The sequence below is a fragment of the Homo sapiens genome, chromosome 10 (assembly GCF_000001405.40).
Source record: "Homo sapiens chromosome 10, GRCh38.p14 Primary Assembly".
In the NCBI taxonomy this organism is placed as follows: domain Eukaryota; kingdom Metazoa; phylum Chordata; class Mammalia; order Primates; family Hominidae; genus Homo; species Homo sapiens.
Genome location: NC_000010.11, coordinates 46,109,495 through 46,131,956, shown reverse-complemented (window position 1 = coordinate 46,131,956; position 22,462 = coordinate 46,109,495). Strand labels below are relative to the sequence as shown.

The following is a 22,462-nucleotide window of genomic DNA, read 5'->3' as shown; positions in this document are numbered from 1 at the left end:
AGGCCGAGGCAGGTGGATCACGAGGTCAGGAGTTCGAGACCATCCTGGCTAACATGGTGAAACCACGTCTCTACTGAAAATACAAAAAATTAGCCAGGTGTGGTGGCAGGCACCTGTAGTCCCAGCTACCTGAGAGGCTGAGGCAGGAGAATGGTGTGAATCCGGGAGGCAGAGCTTGCAGTGAGCAGATATCACGCCACTGCACTCCAGCTGGGGCGACAGAGCAAAACATCGTCCAAAAAAAAATAAAAATAAAAATGAAAAAGAGGTGCCATGTGTAAAAAATCAATGCATATTTATGAACTTTATTTCAAATATATTTTCACACATTTTATCTAAATACATAATACAGAAGCCTGTGTGACTTGGGCAATGTGGCCAGGAGGGCCTGAGACTAACAAATCCACCTTGGCAAAAGGACATAAAATACGTCTTATGGTCAGAAAAATCAACATTTTGTGTATTTACTTAGTTTACGAAAAGTACTGAAAATGCTATTATTAGCTGAATTTGTGATTTCCTTTTGAAATTCTGAGTTATCCTTATTTTTCCCATTTTGTTTTTGCACCAAGGAGACTGCAGTCAAATAAAACAGATACTACACACACTCGTCGGGGCAGCCGTACTGCAGAAGCACGTTGATGCACTCCTGGCTGGAGGCCTGCCGGGCGTAGGTCAGCGCTGTGTTCCCGTGGGCATCTCGGGCCATGACGTCCACCCCGTACCAGATCAGGAGCTGCGCCAGGACCACATTCCCCTTGCGGCAGGCCAGATGGAGCGCCGTGCAGCCGTCTCCCTCCCCACAGGTCTCGTTCACCTCCTCACGGGAGCCATGTGCCAGCAGCAGGATGGCTGTCTGCAGGTCCTCATCAGCGGTGGCCCGCAGCAGCTGCTGGCCCAGGGACAGCTCAGTGCAGGGTAGTGGGGCCAGAAAGAGCTTCTCCTCATATTTGGAACGGATCCACCGTTCCTTCTCTTCCCTCGTGGACTTTTCTGTGGGTTTTGTCCGCCCCTGGCTGCTCCCTTCCCAGATGCTGTTGGCTAGGTCATTGCCAATAGATGACATAACCTTCCTGAGCTCAACTGGCCAGTCATCCAGCTCCAGAGATCGCACACGGGAAAGGCGGGTGCCAAGACTGCGGTGGATACCTGAGCATTCAATACACATGAGGACTCCCAAGTTCAAACTGGCCCACTTAGGATTCTGGGTCTCACAGTCCACACAGTGGGCGTTCCCACGCATGTTTTGGATCGACTGCAGGGCCATGGCCTCGCTCTGGCTGGTCAGCTGGGACTTGCTTTTACTGCTCTCGCATGACTGCAGGCTGGCCAGGATCTGGCTCTGGATGGCTTGGACCCATGCATCCCGCTCCTCATATGTCGTGGCTTCAAAGTGCCACGTTTGGCCAGTGGCAGACACAATCATAAAGTTGTTGGTGCTTTTCTTCTTTAGGTGTTTCTTTTTATTGGCATGAGGAGAGGGGGGCGGGTTGAGCTTGGGGATGGTGGTGCTGGAGATACTGGGGCTGAAGCATATGGAGTCACCCAGCCCGGTGTCCATGTCCTTGGATAGGCCATCGCTTTTAGAGCTGGAGATGGGTGTGCAGGCCAATGTGGCTAGGGATGGCCACTTTCCTGGGACTTTGATGGTAGATGTCTGAAGGTCAATCTCTTTTTTATGAATATACTTCATATAATCACCTAAGCTTGAATAATAGGTGAGCACACCATTGGAACACAGGGTGACGTATTTCTTTTTCCATGTCTTCAGCCATTTCCCACTTCGCTTTAAGAGCATGCCCTGTTTAATGGGGATGGCTCTGCCGCTCCCGATGGTGTCAGCATGATTCTCCGGGGCTTTCCTCTCTTTGTCTGGGTCACTCCCTTTCTCAGATGTAAACAGGTTGGACCAGCGCATGGACCGCTTGCAAACGGGGGTGGGTGTGTTGGCAGTGGGAGGAACACTGAACTGAGGGTCCTCCTGGCTGGTGCTGGGAGTCGATGGAATGGAGGAGGAATAGTTATTTAAACTCCCACCTCCATTTCTGTTCTTCGTAATGTGCACGGTGGAAACCTGTGTGGAACAGAAGGAGGAATGGCTTCAAAAATTGGGTAGTGGCTTGCAGGGTCCTATAGACAGCTCACAATTACCTTTTAAAAAGATACATTTTCTGGGCCAGGCATGGTGGCTCACACCTGTAATCACAGCACTTTGGGAGGCCAAGGTGGGTGGATCACGAGGTCAGGAGTTCAAGACCATCCTGGCCAACATGGTGAAACCCTGTCTTTACAAAAAAAAAAGAAAAAAGAAAAAAAAGTTAGCTGGGCATGGTGGCACATGCCTGTAATTCCAGTTACTCGGGAGGCTGAGGCAGGAGAATTGCTTGAACAGGGACCTGGGAGGCAGAGCCTGCAGTGAGCCAAGATCGCGCAATTGCACTCCAGCCTGGGCTACAGAAAGAGAGTCCATCAAAAAAAGAAAAAAAAAGATACATTTTCTGTTGTTTGGATAGTATATTTACTCATACTAGCTCACTAACTAAACAGAGCTGCAGATCAGTTCTTACTCCAGCACATTCTTTTTACAACACTTAAGATGACTAAATGCAACATGAAATGGGGAAGATTTAAAAAAAGATGGCTTTGACTTCAGCATGAAACAGATACAAGTGTACGATGAAAATACAACCTCAATAAAAGTGCCACTTACCGCAAATGAGTGTAACTGTTCATCAGGTATGCTCAAAGATCTATCTGCATCTCTATAAAATAAGAAAGCGCATTACTTCAAAAACTGTTAATATCTTAGTATAATATTTGTTTAGTAAAATACTGCCTCCTGTGTGCTTTGGTGTTTACTTTACCAAAGCAGTTTTTACGAATTCTTCTCCTGGATCCTGACTTGCAGAGGGTTTCCTGACTTCTTCTTTCTCAGCACATCATGGCCTGTACCGTGAAGTCTTTTGTATGATAACCAGTCAGAAATGCCCGTGAGTATTGACTCTCCCTAACAGGCCATGGCAATAAACCAAACATATTTTCACTCTTCTAACCACACATTGAAACACAAGAATGTTCTACAAAGCAGTAGTAGTAAACTTTAATAAACGTAAATGTGATTCAGATTTCCTAGCTTCCTTTCTCTTTAGTTCTCTGTAGTATACTCTCATGATGTATTTATGTACTTTCTGTTGTTTGAATGACAAACTCATCTGCCTTTTTAAGAGGCCAGTCTTTGATGAACTTTAAACTTTGTAAAACTAATGCATTGTGCCTGTGTATAAACCAGTGGTTCTCCAAATGTGCTGTGTGGACCTCTCGGGATCCCGAAGACCCCTTCCAGAAGGCCTAAGAGGTCATAACTGTTCTTTTTTTTTTTTTTTTTTTGAGACCAAGTTTTACTCTTGTTGCCCAGGCTGGAGTGCAATGGTGTGATCTCGGCTCATGGCAACCTTCGCCTCCCAGGTTCAAGTGATTCTCCTACCCCAGCCTCCCAAGTAGCAGGGATTACAGGCACCTGCCACCACTCCTGGCTAAGTTTTGTATTTTTAGTAGAGATGTGGTTTCACCATGTTGGCCAGGCTGGTCTTGAACTCCTAACCTCAGGTGATCCGCTTGCCTCGGCCTCCCAAAGTGCTGGGATTACAGGCCTGAGCCACTGTGCCTGGCCAACACTGTTCTGAATCATACTAATTAAACCTGAGAAAGCTGATGAAAAATTTTAAAAATTTGTGAAAGTAATACAAAGTCATTGCCTGCTTTTTCATTGACACTTGCCATGATTATATAAAAGCAAAAGTGGGTACAATGGCTGGTTTCTCAGCATAAATCAAGGCAGTAGTACCAATTACATTAGTAGTCATTCTATTCTTCACTGTCCCGTACAGGTAAAAAACATAGCCTGAATTTCTTAAGAATGTCTTTGATGAAGCAGTAAAAATTAATGTTGTTAAATCTTGACATGTCTCTAATATTCTGAATAAGTGGAAAGTTAACCAGAAGCGCTTTTTTTTTGTTTTTAAAGAATCCGTGATTTAACTGTGAACTGAAAAATCACTTTTTTCACAGAACATCATTTTTATTTAAAAGTACAACTAGGCCAGCGCAGTGGCTCACGCCTGTAAAATCCCAGCACTTTGAGAGGCCAAAGCAGGCAGATGGCTTGAGCTCCTTCAGGAGTTCGAGACCAGCCTAGGCAACATAACGAAACCCTGTCACTGTCAAACATATAAGAAAATTAGCCTGGCGTGGTGCCACACATCTGTGGTCCCAGCTACAAAGGAGCCTGAGGTGAGAGGATTGCTTGAGCTGAGATCATGCCAATGCACTCCAGCCAAGTGACAGTGAAACTCGGTCTAAAAAACCAGTTCAACTATCATTCTCAAAAATAAATGAAGTGAGAGGTTGTCACTTCAAGGGAAATACGTATTTTTTCCCAATGATAAAATTTAAGCTTTCCTGTGGACTTTGAAAAACTTGTTCCTTCTACTGTAGGCTTGGCAGCTTTTCAATACTTAAAGGTGTGTTAAAGTAAGATTGGTGGTTAAACTAAAAGTGATTTTTGACACAATAAAACATAAACCAATATATTCCAAGTAACTAATGCATGATATTATAAATGCAAGTATGGAGCAAAAGATCCATTTACTGTGCAAGAAAGATCAACGAGTACTGATGGAATAAATTTATTAATATGTAAAATGACACCGTAACTAATTTAAGAAACCACCACTTGTGAAGTTTTGATTTAGTGTTAACAAATACCCACAACTATCTGAAAACTTTAAAAATACACCTTCTACCAACTACATATTTGCATGAGGTTAGGTCATCTTATTGCTTCTTTTTTTCTTTTTTTGAGACAGAGTCTCTCTCTGTCACCCAGGCTGGGGTGCAATGGCGAGATCTCGGCTCACTGCAACCTCCACCTCCCAGGCTCAAGCGATTCTCCTGCCTCAGCCTCCCAAGTAACTGGGACTACAGGCATGCACCACCATGCCCAGCCATTTTTTGTATTTTCAGTAGAGGCGGGTTTTACCATGTTGGTCGGGCTGGTCTCAAACTCCTGACCTCAAGTGATCCACCCACCTCGACCTCCCAAAATGCTGGGATTACAGGTGTGAACCACTGCGCCCCACCAGCTTATTGCTTTTTTTGTTTGTTTGTTTAGGCAGAGTCTTGCTCTGTCACCCAGGCTGCAGTGCAATGGCACCATCTCAGCTCTCTGCAACCTCCGCCTCCCAAGTTCAAGCGGTTCTCCTGCCTCAGCCTCCAGAATAGGTGGGACTACAGGTGCGTGCCATCATGCCCAGCCAAGTTTTTGTATTTTTAGTAGAGACGGGGTTTCGCCGTGTTAGCCAGGATGGTCTCGATCTCCTGACCTTGTGATCCGCCCGCCTCAGCCTCCCAAAGTGCTGGGATTACAGGCGTGAGCCACCGTGCCCAACCTCTTATTGCTGCTTTAAAGCAAATTGCAAAGAAAGCTCTAGAGAATCCATTTGTCTCCTATTAAGCTCAACATGAGAGACTTTAAATAATATAAATACATGACGCACTTTTTACTCAACTTTTTGTTGTAGAGAAGTTATTTTTCAATGAAAAAATTCTGTTAACAATACTGTTCTCAAGGAATATTTTCTGTTGTTATAACCTGGGTCATGGGTTACTACTGACATCTAGTTGGTAGAGGCCATGAATACTGCTAAACTCTCTGCAATGCACAAGACAGTCCTCACAACAAAGCATTATCTAGCCCATAATATCAACAGTGGTAAGGCTGTGAAATCTAAACTAAAAATAGATTTTGAAAAAATTTCAATTGTATAATTCTACCACACTAAATATCAATATAATCAATATAAACACATACTCTTTGAGATTCTCAATCATTTAAGAATTATGAGAGTCTTAAGGAACAAAGAAAATACAAATAATTTGCTTCAATATTTTAGTAGGCACAATACAGCTTATGATGTCTAGAGCTGTGACCTAACACTGAGCTTGATATCTTGCAAAGTACTTAGCTAGAATAACAAGACAGGTTTCTAAAAAGCTCACCTTTGTGTGATATGATGAGGTATCTCCAAGGTCACACTGTGGAAGGAAAAAAAATTCATAACAATAGATGTTAACATTTGTTAGGCCTGAAGACATTTTTTAAAAGGGGGGCAGAGGAAACTCTCCTAGCGGCCCTGAAATTCAAATCTTCTAGTTCAGAACAGTACCATAAGGGCACTTTGTTTTCATTTCTTTGTTTTTTACAAAAATATGAGAACCAAAATGCAAGGAAATATGCCGTTAGAAGACGCGTTTCTGTTGGTGATTACAATATATAAATAATAACAGATTTCCTTGTTATATGCTTTTCTACCCACGAAACCTTTCGTCCCATGCGATTTATTTTATGTATTTATTTATTTTTTGACCCAGAGTCTGTCTCTCTTGCTCAGACTGGATTGCAGTGGTGCCATCTTGACTCCTCACAACCTCCACCACCCAGGTTCAAGCGATTCTCATGCCTCAGCCTCCCAAGAAGCTGGGACTACAAGTTTGTGCCACTATGCCCAGATAATTTTTTTTTTTGGGGGGGGGGGGCGGTGGATGGAGTTTCGCTCTTGTTGCCCAGGCTGGAGTGCAATGGTGTGATCTCGGCTCACCACAACCTCTGCCTCCCGGGTTCAAGAGATTCTCCTGCCTCAGCCTCCCAAGTGGCTGGGATTACAGGCATGTGCCACCACACCCAGCTAATTTTGTAGAGTGAGGCTCAAAACAACTGAGGGAAGGCAAATCTCAATTCTACTAATAGGTCTACACAATATTAGCACTTTTTAAAAAGCCTGTAACATTAGCAGGTAAGATGGATATGTCTATAGTGCTTCAAGTAGTTTTCATCTCTGAAATAATTTTAAAATCACAGAATTTAAAGTTACATGCTGGAAAGGACCAATGACCTTATGTGACATTTAATTCAACACTCGTTTTACAGATCAGGGAAACAGACCTTAAAACTGACTTGCCCAAGGTCCCACCAAATAGGAGCAGTTTCTCATCCTAAACTCAAATTAAGCAGTGGCTCTCAAACTTTGCTGCACATTAAAATCGCCTGAGAAGCTTTAATATCTGCCTCATCTTCCACATGAGACATTTTAATTTAATTAGTATTGGGTATGGCTTTGGGCATCAAGGTTCTTGGTAAACGTTTCCCAGGTGATTTCAATCAGCAGCAAAGTTTGGAATGATTGAGTTGGGGTGAAAATCAGAATCTTCTGGGATGCTTTTCTTCACAGAAAGATGCCTCACATCCATCCCGATTTTCCTAAAAGGCTTCTCAGTGCCTAGAGATAGAGGGAAAGTGGAGATGGGAAGATACATGTGTTTGCAGACTTGTATTTTGAAAAAAACCTTGCATAAGTGATCTCAGCGAGTTCCACCTATCCCACTGACAACAGTGCACTACTGATTCATGATAAAACATTTTTCAAAATATCTTCTTGAAGCCAATTTGCCCTATTAATTTGTTCAATAACTTTATTTCACCAATAGTGAATACACCAAATGATCATTTCTCAAACTTGCTGGTGGCAAATTAAAACTTACTATACTCTCAAAAGTAGACTTCTAAAAAGTAGAATAATGAGGAGAAAAGCACGAAATTTGTTTCAGCAAAATTAATCTTCAAAGCTGCTTTTGAATTATATGCTAACATATCAAAATCTTTGGAACTCAGAAGAAGCCAGGGACTCTAGTCAAAGTAATTTTTGTGTATGTGTGCTCAGAGATTTAAGAGACTTAGCTGACTACAGACATTTAGTGATTACTCAATAGGTCCCAAAGCTCAGGACTTGAGACAGAGTTTGAGTCCAGTTTTTGTTCGAAACACAATTTCCTCTCAACTATTGTTAAAAGGGAGGGAGGAAAGTGACATTATTATGAGTGTAAACTTTCCACTTTTAATTGAAGTAAAAGTTATTGACAATTGAATTAGTTAAAAAGGCTAGTGCATTTGAAACAAAATTGTTTATAAGCTAGTTATGTGTACAGAATGAAAAGTTAAATTAAAGATAAAGACATTAATATTCTAAATTAGCACTTTCCAAACTGTGTTCTAAAAATCAAGACTAATAACCCAAGAAGATGAGAATAATGTACACTGGACAGCCCCTGTGGAGCTGGTGGTGGTGTTGGTTGTTGTTCCTTTTAAAATAAACTTCATCTCAGGGTGCTCTCAAAGCGCATCTTTGTGGCCCATGAGGTGCTCATGCACAATGGGAGAAATTCAAATGCAGATACACTGTGGTGCCAGAAGAAGAAAAGCTGTTCCTTCTTCCAAGGATAATGTCCAAAGTAGTGCACACTGATTTAGGCCTATGATGCATTGAAAAACTAAGTTTCCACAAAAAACATTCAGTAAAGGGAACCTATCCTTCTCACTGTGTTCAACATTGTCTAAAGGCATAAAGGCATCAAAAAGATACACTGTTTCTGGGATTGCTTCTTTGCTAACTGATTTTTCCTTCCACCACGACGTCTAAGATTAAAAGAGAAACTGATACTTAATATTCAGAATCTGGATATCAATATATGGTTGACTCCAATTTCTTAAACTGATTGCTGAAAAGGACAACCAAATGACTGAAATAATTTTAGAATAAAGGAATCTGTCCCTCGGCAGCATAGTTGTACTCATGATATTATTGTCATTGTAAGATAATGCTGGATGGCTGTGCTGTCATCAAGGAATATTGTCGAACACAAGCTGTATTGTTGACTGAAATGCACAGTAGATACCTGAAGGGGAAGGGAAGTGTAAGTCAAACTTATCAAAGTGTATTATTTTCTCAGTTAAAATGTCAAATGACAAAGCACTAAGATATGTCTTACACTCCATGAACTGCCTGAGTGTGGTATCATGTGCACTCTATAGAAAACCCATTGGAGGCTCTCAACTTCCAGAGATGATGTTTAAGATATGGGTTATAAAATGCTGCCCTTAATATGGTACCTGTCATCAAACCTAACAAGGATTTTATGAATTACCGTTAAAAATAATGGGAAAAGTCGGCTTCGCGGGGCGCGGTGGCTCACACCTGTAATCCTAGCACTTTGGGAGGTGGAGGCGGGCGGATCACGAGGTCAAGAGATCGAGACCATCCTGGCTAACATGGTGAAACCCCGTCTCTACTAAAAATACAAAAAATTAGCCGGGCGTGGTAGCAGGCCCCTGTAGTCCCAGCTACTTGAGAGGCTGAAACAGGAGAATGGGGTGAACCCAGGAGGAGGAGCTTGCAGTGAGCCGAGTTCGCACCACTGCACTCCAGGCCGGCAGACAAAGTGAGACTCCATCTCAAAAAAAAAGAAAAGTTTAAAATAAGATTTCATTTTTTTTCTGCAGCAATAAAAAGCAGCTGAGAATTTCTATTAATTAATTAATTTATTTATTTATTTTTGAGACGGAGTCTCGCTCTGTCGCCCAGGCTGGAGTGCAGTGGCGCGATCTCGGCTCACTGCAAGCTCCGCCTCCCGGGTTCACGCCATTCTCCTGACTCAGCCTCCTGAGTAGCTGGGACTACAGGCGCCCACCACCATGCCCGGCTAACTTTTTGTATTTTTAGTAGAGACGGGGTTTCACCGTGTTAGCCAGGATGGTCTCGATCTCCTCACCTCGCGATCTGCCTGCCTCAGCCTCCCAAAGTACTGGGATTACAGGCCTGAGCCACGGCGCCCAGCCCTTCTATTATTTATTTACTACGATAAAATGTAATGTATTAAATAATCCTGCTACAAGAGCATTTTATTGCAGTGAATACAAGACTAATGCATTTACTAAATTACTAATCCTAAATGTATTATTTCAGGTGATATTGTTACAAAAGAAGTGTTTCAGATTCAGAGGCTCTGTGTGCCAGGGCTGCTAGGCCACCAACAAGTGAGGAAGCCATAGGTTTCTCTAGTCCTATTTTCTTATGTGGAGGATAAAAAGAGTATCACTTAAATATTCTCTCACACCCTGAAAACAAATGACAACTTAAAAAATCTAACTTTCACTTCATGTTTAAATAAGACTGCCAAGACATGACTCAAATGAGACTCTCGGAGAATACTTTGCATTCACTTCAAAACTTGATCAATTGCATTCTATAAATCATCTGACCTGCACCTAGCCATTTTCCTGCTCTACCCCTGCTCTCTGCCTAGAATACTGCTTTTCTCTTTCCTTGCTTCAGCAAGCTCGACTCCATCTACCCTCTTGGATCTCTTTGTCGGCAGCCACACCAAAAAATGTATTTTTATACACTAATTAGTTGAATTCACCACTGCTTACAAGATGCTAATTCCTGCAGAGTATTCCCCTTGTGAGAAAGTATGCCTCTCCATAAGAGTAAGGGAGGGCCCTTACTCTTCCTACCTCCAGCTGCTGAGCATAGAATTTTGAGTAAATCCAAAACTTCGACAAGTGTTTGACAATTCAGTTATCATTTGGAAGGTAAGTCTTACTACATTTAATTACAGCAAAAACACTACTAACAGTTTACTCTTTATAGGTATTATTTAAGGTAGTCACAAAATAGAAACAAATACTCTAACGTCAGGCAGCATAAATGAGAGTATGAAATTTTACAGTATTTAACAAGAAATGGAAGGGGTTACTTAGTAGTTTTAAGGTTTAATGACAAAAACTAGAAAATAATCGTACCTAGTAATTTAGTAAGTCAAAACCAAAGCTTTACCATCAAAGGTGCAGTACCCATTGGATGCAGATGCCCACGCACTGACTTCTTCTGCTGTACCTGCTGCCTCTCATTTTAACCCATTAAAAATACTAAAGTTGTTTTCCTTGTAGACATCTTTCACCTCCTTGGTTAGGTCTATTCCGAAGTATTTTATTTTAGTTTAGTTTAGTTTTGCAGCTATCAGAAAAGGGGTTGAGTTCTTGGTTTGATTCTAAGCTTGGTCGCTTCTGGGGTATAACAGAGCTACTGATTTGTGTACATTAATTTTGTCTCCTGAAACTTTGCTGAATTCATTTATCAGTTCTAGGAGCTTTTTGGAGGAGTCTTTAGGGTTTCCTAGGTATATGATCATATCATCATCAAACAGCAACAGTTTGACTTCCTCTTTACCGATCTGCATGCCTTTTATTGTTTTCTCTTGTGTGATTGTTCTGGCTAGGCCTTCCAGTAGTATGTTGAATACAAGTGGTGAGAGTGGGCATCCTTGTCTTGTTCCAGTTCTCGGGGGGAATGCTTTCAACTTTTCCCCCTTTCAGTATTATGTTGGTTGTGGGTTTGTCATAGATGGCTTTTATTATATTGAGCTGTGACCCTTGTATGCTGATTTTGCTGAGGGTTTTAATCATAAAAGGATGCTGCATTTTGTCAAATGCTTTTTCTGCATCTGTTTAGATGATCATGTGATTTTTTGTTTTTAATTCTGTTTATGTGGTGTATCACATTTATTGACTTGTGTATGTTAATCCATCTCTGCATCCCTGGTATGAAACCCATTTGATCATGGTGGATTATCTTTTTTTTTTTTTGAGATGGAGTCTCGCTCTGTTGCCCAGGCTGGAATATGCAGTGCGGTGATCTTGGCTCACTGCAACCTCTGCCTCCGAGGTTCAAGCGATTCTCCTGCCTCAGCCACCTGAGTAGATGGGATTACAGGTGAGCACCACCACACCCGGCTAACTTTTGTATTTTTAGTAGAGATGGGATTTCACCATGTTGGCCAGGCTGGTCTCGAACTCCTGACCTCATGATCCGTCCGCCTCAGCCTCCCAAAGTGCTGGGATTACAGGTGTGAGCCACCGTGCCTGGCCCGATTATTTTTTGATATGCCGTTGGGAACTACAAAACGTTGCTGAATGAAGTCATGGACACAAACAAATGGAAAGACACCCCATGCTCATGAATGGGTAGAATGAATATTGTGAAAATGACCATACTGCCAAAAGCAATCTACAAATTCAATGCAACTCCCATTAAAATAGCACCATCCTTCTTCACCGAACTAGAAAAAACAATCCTGAAATTTATATGGACCAAACAAGAACCGGCACAGCCAAAACAAAACTAAGCAAAAACAACAAATCTGGAGGCATGACATTACCTGATTTCAAACTATACTATAAGGCCATAGTCGCCAAAATAGCATGGTACTGATATAAAAATAGGCACATACACCAATGGAACAGAATAGAGAACCCAGAAATAAACTCAAATACCTATAGCCAACTGATTTTCAACAAAGCCACCTAAAACATAAAGTGAAGAAAGTAAACCCTATTCAACAAATGGTGCTGGGATAATTGGCAAGCCACATGCGGGAGAATGAAACTGGATCCTCAACTCTCACCTTACACAAAAATCAACTCAAGATGGATCAAGGACATAAATCTATGACCTGAAATCATAAAAGTTCTAGAAGATAACATTGGAAAAACCCGTCTAGACGCTGGCTTAGGCAAAGACTTCATGACCAAGAACACAAAAGCAAATGCAACAGAAACAAATAGGTGAGACTTAACTAAAGAGCTTCTGCACAGGAAAAGGAACAATCAGCAGAGTATACAGACAACCACAGAGTGGGAGGAAATCTTCACAGTCTATACATCTGACAAAGGGCTATTATCCAGAATCTATGAGGAACTCAAACAAATTACAATTACAAAAATATGGAACCAGCCCAAATGCCCGTCAATCAATGAGTGGATAAAGAAACCGTGATATACATACATATATATATATATGAGGAATACCACCTCAGCCATAATAAGGAATAAATTCATGGCATTTCCAGCAACCTGGATGGAAGTAAGACTATTATTCTAAGTGAAATAACTCAGCATGGAAAACCAAATATCATGTTCTCTTTCATACGTGGGAGCTGAGCTATGAGGATGCAAAGCCATAAGAATGATACAATGGACTTTGGGGACTTGGGGGAAAGGCTGGGAGGAGGGTGAGGGATAAAAGACTACAAACTGGGTTCAGCGGATACTGCTCAGGTGATGGGTGCACCTAAATCTCACAAATCATCACTAAAGAACTTAGTCATGTCACCAAATGCCACCTGTTCCCCCAGAAACCTATGGAAATAATAAATAAATAAATAAAGTACAGCATTTTTCTCAGCAAACATAAAATAAAACAAAGACTAAAGTTCATATTTTTCACTCTCCTTTTGGGCAGGACAAATTTTAGATAGGTTTTTAAAGAATTAGTAACTTTAGGCCGGGCGCGGTGGCTCACGCCTGTAATCCCAGCACTTTGGGAGGCCGAGGCGGGCGGATCACGAGGTCAGGAGATCGAGACCATCCCGGCTAAAACGGTGAAACCCCGTCTCTACTAAAAATACAAAAAATTAGCCGGGCGTAGTGGCGGGCGCCTGTAGTCCCAGCTACTTGGGAGGCTGAGGCAGGAGAATGGCGTGAACCCGGGAGGCGGAGCTTGCAGTGAGCCGAGATCCCGCCACTGCACTCCAGCCTGGGCGACAGAGCGAGACTCTGTCTCAAAAAAAAAAAAAAAAAAAAAAAAAAAAAGAATTAGTAACTTTTTTCCTTTTTCCGAGACAGGGTCTCCCTTTGTTGCCCAGGCTGGAGTGCAGCGGTGCAATTATAGTTAACTGCAGCCTCAAACTCCTGAGCTCAAGCGATCCTCTGCCTCAGCCTCCTGAGTAGGTAATACGAAAGGCGCATGCCACCAGGCCTGGCTAATTTGTTATTTAACCTTTTTGTAGACATGAGGTCTTGCTATGTTGACCAGGCTAAAAATAAACAAATCTTAATTAACTTAAATATTTCTAACACTTTGGGCATTCAGGAAAACAGCTCCATCTATGTTGTGAAGTAATGGGAAGTATATGGCAGTGGATAAACTTTGAATGAAAATATTAAACAAGGCCTTAGGAGAAAAGTGTAATATGCTTATTATAGATACATTAATTTAAAAAATTCTCTGGCTTAATATCATTAATTATACTCAAATTAGACTTTGATTTAAACACAGGTCCTAAATTTGGATTAAATATAATAGATTGACCACAAATTTATTTCGTCTCCCTCCGGAAGCCTCATCAGTCATAAAATAAAGGTTACACCCATGACCAGCACAGAAGGTTGACAGAGATAATTTTTAATAAATGCTGAGACATAAAAAGTAGATAAAGGAGTGGTAAATAACACAGAAACACAACTTTGGTGCCTACAGAAAGTGACTGGAACAGAAGCGAGCCAGTTTGTCTTGCAGAACTAAAGGCAGGTTGTGAAATTACAGGCAAATGGCACTTTGGAAAGTAGGGTAAAATGTGAAAAAAAAAAAAAAAGCCAGCAAGGTCAGTTGCAAATCTCTAACTAGAGCCCCAAGTCCACCTGTCCTTCCATCTGACAAGAAACTTAGATGTGTGTTCTCCGGATATATCAAACCTGAGAATTTCTGGCTCAGAGATACCATGGCTTAAACCTGAGATATAAAGAAAACTGTACACCAAAAATGGAACTCCAACTTTCTTCGCTAACTCTGCTTTTCCTTTCCAGGCCTGCTTTTCCTTTCCAGGCAGAAAATTGGGAGATCCTTCTCAGAAGAAACTGAAATGTCTTCAATAAAGATCCCCAGATAATACACTGAGGTCTCCCAAATGAAAAGCTAGTCAGGCTTCTAAGGCCTCACACTGAGTGCTATCAGTTAACAGAAATCCTGCTTCCAAATAAAGCAGGCCAGGGACCACCACACATTGGAGGGAAGCCTCCAAGAAAAGAGATCAAAACAATAGAAAAAAGGAATTGATAGGACCAGTCAAAATCAGGAGCAAAACTTTAAAAAAAAATCTTAAAACACTCTCAAAAAATATAAAATTCAATAGAAATAGTAGAGGATAAAGTCACAGAATATCCCAGAACTAGAATAAAAAGACAAACTGAAAAAAATACAAGGGGAAAAATTAAAAATCAATGCAGGCGTATTGGTCTAAGCAGCCTAGCATCTGAATAACAAGACTATCAGTAAAAAAGTAACAGAGAAAATAAAAAAAAATTCTCAAGAAGAGATAGTCTGCAGGTTTAGTAGCCTCAATAAAATGAAAAGATCCCCAACAAGCTGTTATAAAATTTCAGAACCTTAGAGAGAGAGATTCTAAAAAGCTTCCGCAGATAACTAAAACCTGGTTGTAAATAACGTATCACACACTGGCAATAGATTCAAGAACAACACTGTAATAAGAGCACAACTGCAAAATGTCTTCAGAACCATACAATTTAGATTCAACCTAGAGGTGTACTCTCTATCAAAGAGGAGGGATTTTAACATCTCCACACAGGAAAATGTGTTCAAGTACAACTAGAGACGATAACAGGACAGAAGGAAACACAGAATCTAGGACTCAGGCGATCCCACACAAGACAGCAGTTACGTGAGATACCAAAAGACTTTAAAGAGTTAGCCCAGAAAAGCAGACATTGAGCATATCTAGGGAAACCCACGCTATATTGAACTAGGATGACAAAAGGCCAAAGAAAGTTGCCCCCCACACAAACATAAAAAGGAACAGATGTGTTTTCGCAGATGGAAAATATCTTTGAAAGGCATGTGATAAATGCTACAATACTTGGGGGAAAACAGCTGTTAGAAAACAGGCAAATGAATATAGTCAGAAAATTAGCTTCATGCTAAAAAATAATGGATGTGAAAGCAAACAGAGCACCCAGAGGCTACTTAACGATATTTGGATAGATAAACTAACATAGGCTAGGAAAAAAGAAGATCCAGGAGAATTGCAGAAGTCCTCAGATTTCAGAACTGTTTCAGAGACAGGATGAAGGACATGGAATGCAGAGGCACAGTGAAAACACCATATGACTTAGCAGTGAATAATATTTGCAGAGTCATAATCATGTAAATATTACTGATTTAATTAAAAAGTGTGCTACAATTGGAAGAAACACAGGGAGAAACATAAGATCATGGTGTAGCGGGGAAGGTATGCTTTTACCTGCTGTGACAGAAAGTCAATAGACAGTGCTGGCAATTAACTTAGCTATTCTATTTTTGTTCTTTCATTAAAAATAAGATTAAATATTTAAGGCAATTTTTTTTTTTTTTTGAGACAGAGTTTCGCTCTGTCGCCCAGGCTGGAGTGCAATGGCGCGATCTTGGCTCACTGCAACCTCCGCCTCCTGGGTTCAAGTGATTCTCCTGCCTCAGCCTCCTGAGTAGCTGAGATTACAGGCATGCACCACCACGCCCAGCTACTTTTGTATTTTTAGTAGATACAGAATTTCACCATGTTGGTCAGGGTTGTCTCAAACTCCTGACCTCAGATGATCAGCCTGCCTCGGCCTCCTAAAGTGTTGTGATTACAGACGTTAGCCACCATGCCCAGCCTTAAGGCAGATCTTTTGAACCGGACTATTGAAATTTAACTTAAATGTCAGAAATCTTTAAAAGGTGGACACGCTAAACTAAGCACTTTTCTGGATAAATTTAACACTCAGGAAAATAGAAGAGATTTAGAAAATCCACAAAAAGAGGTCCATGCTACCACCACCAGGTCCACATTGTAATTTAAAGAAATCAAGAGAGACATCCTTTTATGTCAAACTGTCAATTTCTTAACTATTTGAGTGTTTACTTACATGGTTTGTACAGTTGCTTCTTCTTATTTCTACAACTAAGAATAAAAAAAAAAAAACTGGTCACTTCTGATACAAATACCATAAAATAAAAGTAGTTGTTAACATCTTACTGATTACTCCTATGAAAAATGAGACAAAATTCCATTAAAAAAAAAATTTTTCAATAACATATAATTTAAATTATCTGGCATGATTAATTTCATAAGTCAAATCTAAAAACTTAGATTTTCATTTAGTTTACTTTTTGTTTCTATTACATACAAATGAAAGAATCCTCATGTACAAAAGAAAAGGGCAAAAAAATTAGGCCAGATGAAAAATTTAGCTAATAAAAAGTTTAACTGTTGCATATATGAGCCATGATCCATTAGTATTCTCTCATTCTGCATTTACACATAGCTTACTTTAATTATCAGACTCTAAGAGCTAACAGTTCTAAAAACTACTTCCTGACCAGACACCTATCTCTAGATGCAACAGAATCCCTGTAAGCATCTTGAACCACACTTAGTGGTTATCTACTAATATGTCACTAAAAACAAAACAAAATTAAAAAATGGTCTTTACACAACTGGAAAGTAACCTATCTTAAATTTGTTTTCTTTTTTGAGATGGAGTCTCACTCTGTCACCTAGGCTCGAGTGCAGTGGCGGGATCTCAGCGCACTGCAACCTCTGCCTCCCAGGTTCAAGAAATTCTTCAGCCTTAGCCTCTGGACTAGCTGGGACCACAGGCACGTGCCACCATGCCTAGCTAATTGTTTTTTGTATTTTTAGTAGAGACAGAGTTACACTGTGTTAGCCAGGATGGTCTTGATCTCCTAACCTCGTGATCCACCCACCTCAACCTCCCAAAGAGTTGGGATTACAGGTGTAAGCCACAGAGCCTGGCCTAAATTTTGATGTTAAAATAAGTATACAAACCTAATTGGACATGGTGTCTGCAGCACAAAAAATCATTTTTTTTTTCCCTAAAAAGAGGCCAGAATAATAAAAGCCCCAAGAGGGACTTGGGCCATGCTTTGTTTCCTACACTGCCTCTGCCTTTGATGCTGGGAGGGCCTTGTAGGCAAAAGTTACTACCACCGAAGAGTGAGGGACATGGAATAGCTTTTCTTTTACTGCTTCCATGCTCTCTAGGTGTGAGAAGCCCATGCCTCTGGAAGGAACTGGGAAATACAATTCTGATATGTTTTGGATATGTTGCCCCTCCAAGTCTCATGTTAACATGTGACCCTTAATGTTGGAGATAGGGCCTAGTGGGAGGCGTTTGGGTAATGGCAGTGATTCCTTATGAATGGCTTGGTCCCATCCCCATGGTAATAAGCAAATTCTCATTACGGTAATTTAAAAGACTGTGGTACTGGCCAGGTGCGGTGGCTGAAGCCTGTAATCCCAGCACTTTGGGAGGCTGAAGCGGGCAGATCACTTGAGGTCAGGAGTTTCAGACCAGCCTGGCTAACATGGTGAAACCCTGTCTCTGCCAAAAATACAGAAATTAGCCAGGTGTTATGGTGCCCACCTATAGTCCCAACTACTCAGGAGGCTGAGGCAGGAGAATTGCTTGAACCTGGGAGATGGAGGTTGTAGTGAGCCAAGATCGTGCCATTGCACTCCAGCCTGGGCAACAGAGTGAGACTCCATTTCAAAAAAAAAAAAAAAAAGAGTGTGGTACCTTCCCCCTTCCCCTCTCTCCTCCCTCTTTCACGGTGTGGAACCACCTGCTTCCCCTTTGCCTTTTATCATGATTGTAAGTTTGCTGAGGCCCTCACCAGAAGCAGATGTTAAAGCCATGTTTGTACAGCCTGAAAATCTTTGAGCCAATTAAACCTCTTTTTGTTATAAATCACCCAGCCTTAGGTATCTCTTTATAGTAATGTAAAAAATGAAGACAAATTCTAACCAGAAATAACTGACTCAAGATGGCAAAGTCTACTCAAACTATAAAAACAAAGGTTGCAAACTCCCGTGTTTTACTGTGCTGCATTACTTCGCACACTATTATAGAACCCTCACTTGTGTTCTTGCTGTTTAAGTCAACTGGAAAACTTGGCTGTGTATGGCTTGTTGGCAAATAAATGAGGATTTAACATAACATTAAGGGAAATAAGCAGGAGTAAGGCATGTTTAAATTTACATTATATCAAATGAAAAAGTTAATAACCTAAAACTTTTGAGTAGCGTAAACTTGGATGTGGTAAATGAATGTGGTCAGAGGACTGTGTAAGAGGAGGCCCAAATCACAGATTCAATCCCTGATGATAAACAACTATGTTTTTTAATTTGTTTAAATGAAAACCAAGCTGAAGCCTAAGTTCTATCATTCATCTTTAAAATGTACTTTTTGGAGCAAGGGAAAAGGGATTATAAATAAAGATAAATCCATTAATTATAAATAAAGATAAATCCAAGAATTATAAAGAGAAATCCATGACTCCTCCATCACATCACAAATTAATTGTGTTGATAAAAAGATGCCAAAATGTATAAACAAAAAGGTTACACATTTTCACTAACATCATAACAACTAAAGGAAAGTATATCACATATTAAAATAAGAAAATGAACATGTGAAAAGGTGAAAAATTTAAACCAATATGAGTTTTTCTAAATACTTTCTATAACCTGATCAAACAAGAGCTTTTATTCTTTCTCTTGGCGGAAAAAACAATGTCGTCTCACCATCTGTTTGAGAGTTCCTCTGGAATATTGTGCTTGCCTCTGGATTGGCAGAAGGGTTAAACTCCAAAGCTATATGCATAGAGGAAGAAAAGAAAAAAAGATGTAATCATTGATAAAAATTTATCAACTCGTTTATTCGGCTGCTGCATTTAGGCTATTTCACTATCTCTACTTTGATTCTTATCCATTGAAATGAATGTATAGACATAAGATAGAGCCAGGCAAGATGGCACATGCTTGTAGTCCCAGCTACTCAGGAGGCTGAGATGGGAAAATCACTTGAACCCAGGTCAGGAAGTTGAGGCCAGCATGAGTAACACAATGACACCCTCCTTTATTAAAAAAAAAAAAAAAAGAAGAAGAAGAGGTAAATTTTGGCTTTGAGTTGTGTAAAATCAACTATGCATAAAATAAATCAAGATGGCAGTAAGTTTTAAAAGACAGGTCTATTTTATAGGCAAAATATAAGATGTATTCTAGAGTTTTTAAAATTTTTAAAAAGTAAATTCATCATATCTGTCACTTCCATTTCATTCTGAGGACACAGAACCTTAGTTCTCTTGAGTAGCTGTCTTCCATAGTCATGTGATATCTCTAAGTTTTCATTTCTTCATTAGCAATACATAGGGAGAACATACACAGGCCTTATTTGTATTGGAAAGGGCCAAGTGAGACATACATAAACTGTGTTGTAATCCTAAAGAATGACAATAAAGAGCCATTTTTGGGCTCTCATCCAACACTACCCATCTACTAACTGGTGTGTAACATCCATCAGGCTTTCCGAACATCACCAAGCAGAGTATAAGTTTACACAAGTACTTACATGCTTTGTGTATAAAGGTACAATCAATTAATTCACATAATGCATTTGTTTATTCTAAAGCAATCCTTAAATATCTTGAAATGTGAAGATAGTACTTTCAAGTTACAAAGTCACACTCATAATGAGTCTTAATTATCCTACCTCTTTAAAAATTAAGAGCCCGACCAAAGTTTAAATAGAAGAGCTATAAGACATTTCCTCTACAGTAATGAAATCTCTGGCATTTAAATGAAACCAATAAGCCTACTGGATTTAATATGTTTATGATGCAATGTTTTCTATTTTGAAAATTTCAGTTTTTATTCAAGAACCATATTATTACCCAGAATTACTTTTACTTAGATTCATCTCTTTGCAAAATTTTAGAGGCAAACCAACTAATTGTTTTCTCTTTTCTACCGGCTCCCATCCCCTGCCTCTGCCAGCAGTGTAGAGACTAAAAAACTCCAACTTTCTTTCCTTTTTTTTTTGTGAGACGGAGTCTCGCTCTGTCACCCAGGCTGGAGTGCATTGGCGTGATCTCTGCTCACTGCAACCTCCACCTCCCAGGTCCAAGCAATTCTCCTGCCTCAGCCTTGTGAGTAGCTGGAACTACAGTCATGCGCCACTACGCCCAGCTAATTTTTGTATTTTTTTTTTTTAGTAGAGACAGCGTTTCACCATGTTGGCCAGGCTGGTCTCGAACTCCTGACCTCAGGTGATCCGCCTGCCACGGCCTCCCAAAGTGCTGGGATTACAGGCGTGAGCCACCAAGCCCAGCCAAAACTGTAACTTTCTTATCTTTGAACAAGATGCTATTGTCAGGAGGGGAAGGGACAAAGGGGGAGCCACGGCAACAAACACTCTTACAGGGAAGGTCTGACATTTTAACCTGCAATCTTTATATTACACATTAAAAGTCTACATTGACATTTCATGTCTTTTGAAAGTTTTGACCATGAACCAATCCCCACCTCTCTTTTAGAACAAGGAGGTAAATAAAGTCTGTTAAGTCACCAGAATAAATCTGGAGACACATTTTCTGTTAAAGTAAGAACTTTAACAGAAAAGAGCTTCATAGGTAAACTCCTTTGAGAAACCCCAAACACACACACACAACCATTTTTCTGCAGCCCCGGCTGTGACATTTTACACCTTTCACAATTATTTTAAGCACTCTCCTTTTTTCTTTTTCCTTCTGTGTTCAAATTACAGTTAGAAGAAACTAAGCAGCTTCTATCAAGGTGACTTAAAGCAGCCCATTAAGAATACCATATAGCCTCTCCCGTGGCAAACTCCATTCTGATTTTAAATAAGAAATCCCCAAATATTTGAATAGGAACTGTCTTGAGATTTGGCTACTTTAACAAAGGAAACAATTAGGCACTTACCTGGTTCCTTCACTTAGGTACCATCTGGATAGGTACAAAGAAAAAATAAGATGGGTACTGAAAAGTTGGGATATTTGAGTTTTTATTGAGAAAAGGAAGAGAATAGCTCAAAGAAGCCTAAACAAAGTCCCACAGGATAATAAACAGAGCTACAGACACTGTTGTCTCACCATCTGTTTGAGAGTTCCTCTGTAATATTGTGCTTGCCCTCTGGATTGGCAGAAAGGTTAAACTCCAAAGCTATGTGTATAGAGGGAGAAAAGAAAAAAGATGTAATCATTTATAAAAATTTATCAACTCATTTATTCAACTGCTGCTTATTCGACAAGAGCCATAAATAAATGGTCCCATGCCAGCCTGGGAGAATGAGATGAGAGAGCAAGAACTGGGCGATTGGGAGGGGAGGCGAAAAGAAACTGACTGGACTCGGTGGGGAAAGACTAAGGGGTGGGAATTCAAGGCAGAGCCAGCTTTTGTTCCTGGCCAGCCCCCGGGAAAGCTGGCTACAAGCAGAAAGGAGCTCGAAGTGGGGGATGCCTCAAAGGGAACCTTGGGGACAGTAGCAGCCAGAGGCAAACCGAGGGTAGATGGCACCTATCACCTCCTCACCTTCAGGCATCTCCCGGTCACGAACGTGGTGCATGTGGAGGTCCTCACCAACTTCAACAGTCACCTCAGCAGGCTGTACAGCAGCAGCCATGGGCGCTCCTGCCATCCTGTCCTCAGCTCCTGCCTCATAGATCTCAGATTCAGAGGGACACACCGACCCCTGCTGCTGGTCAAACTCGAGGCTGACGCTAGGGTGCACACGACAGGTCAGTATGTTCCCCATGGGGCGCCTCTACTGTCTGCCACCACCTGTGCCTCTGCTCACAGCTTTGGCCACGCACTCCCGCTGTCCTAGGCCGAGGCTATGCTGCACTTGCAGAGATGGTCTTCCCGCTCCTCGCCTGCCTAC

At 40.9% G+C, this 22,462-nt stretch overlaps 1 pseudogene across 1 annotated transcript; it reads right to left on the bottom strand.

Annotated features, from left to right (window-relative positions):
* Positions 1-278: 278 nt before the first annotated feature.
* Positions 279-22,462, bottom strand: AGAP7P (ArfGAP with GTPase domain, ankyrin repeat and PH domain 7, pseudogene; annotated as a pseudogene). The gene is made up of 7 exons (NR_126580.1): positions 22,114-22,462; positions 21,675-21,744; positions 19,309-19,377; positions 16,628-16,662; positions 6,058-6,093; positions 2,711-2,762; positions 279-2,074 (listed from the first exon to the last, which is right to left on the bottom strand). The product of NR_126580.1 is annotated as an ArfGAP with GTPase domain, ankyrin repeat and PH domain 7, pseudogene (transcript).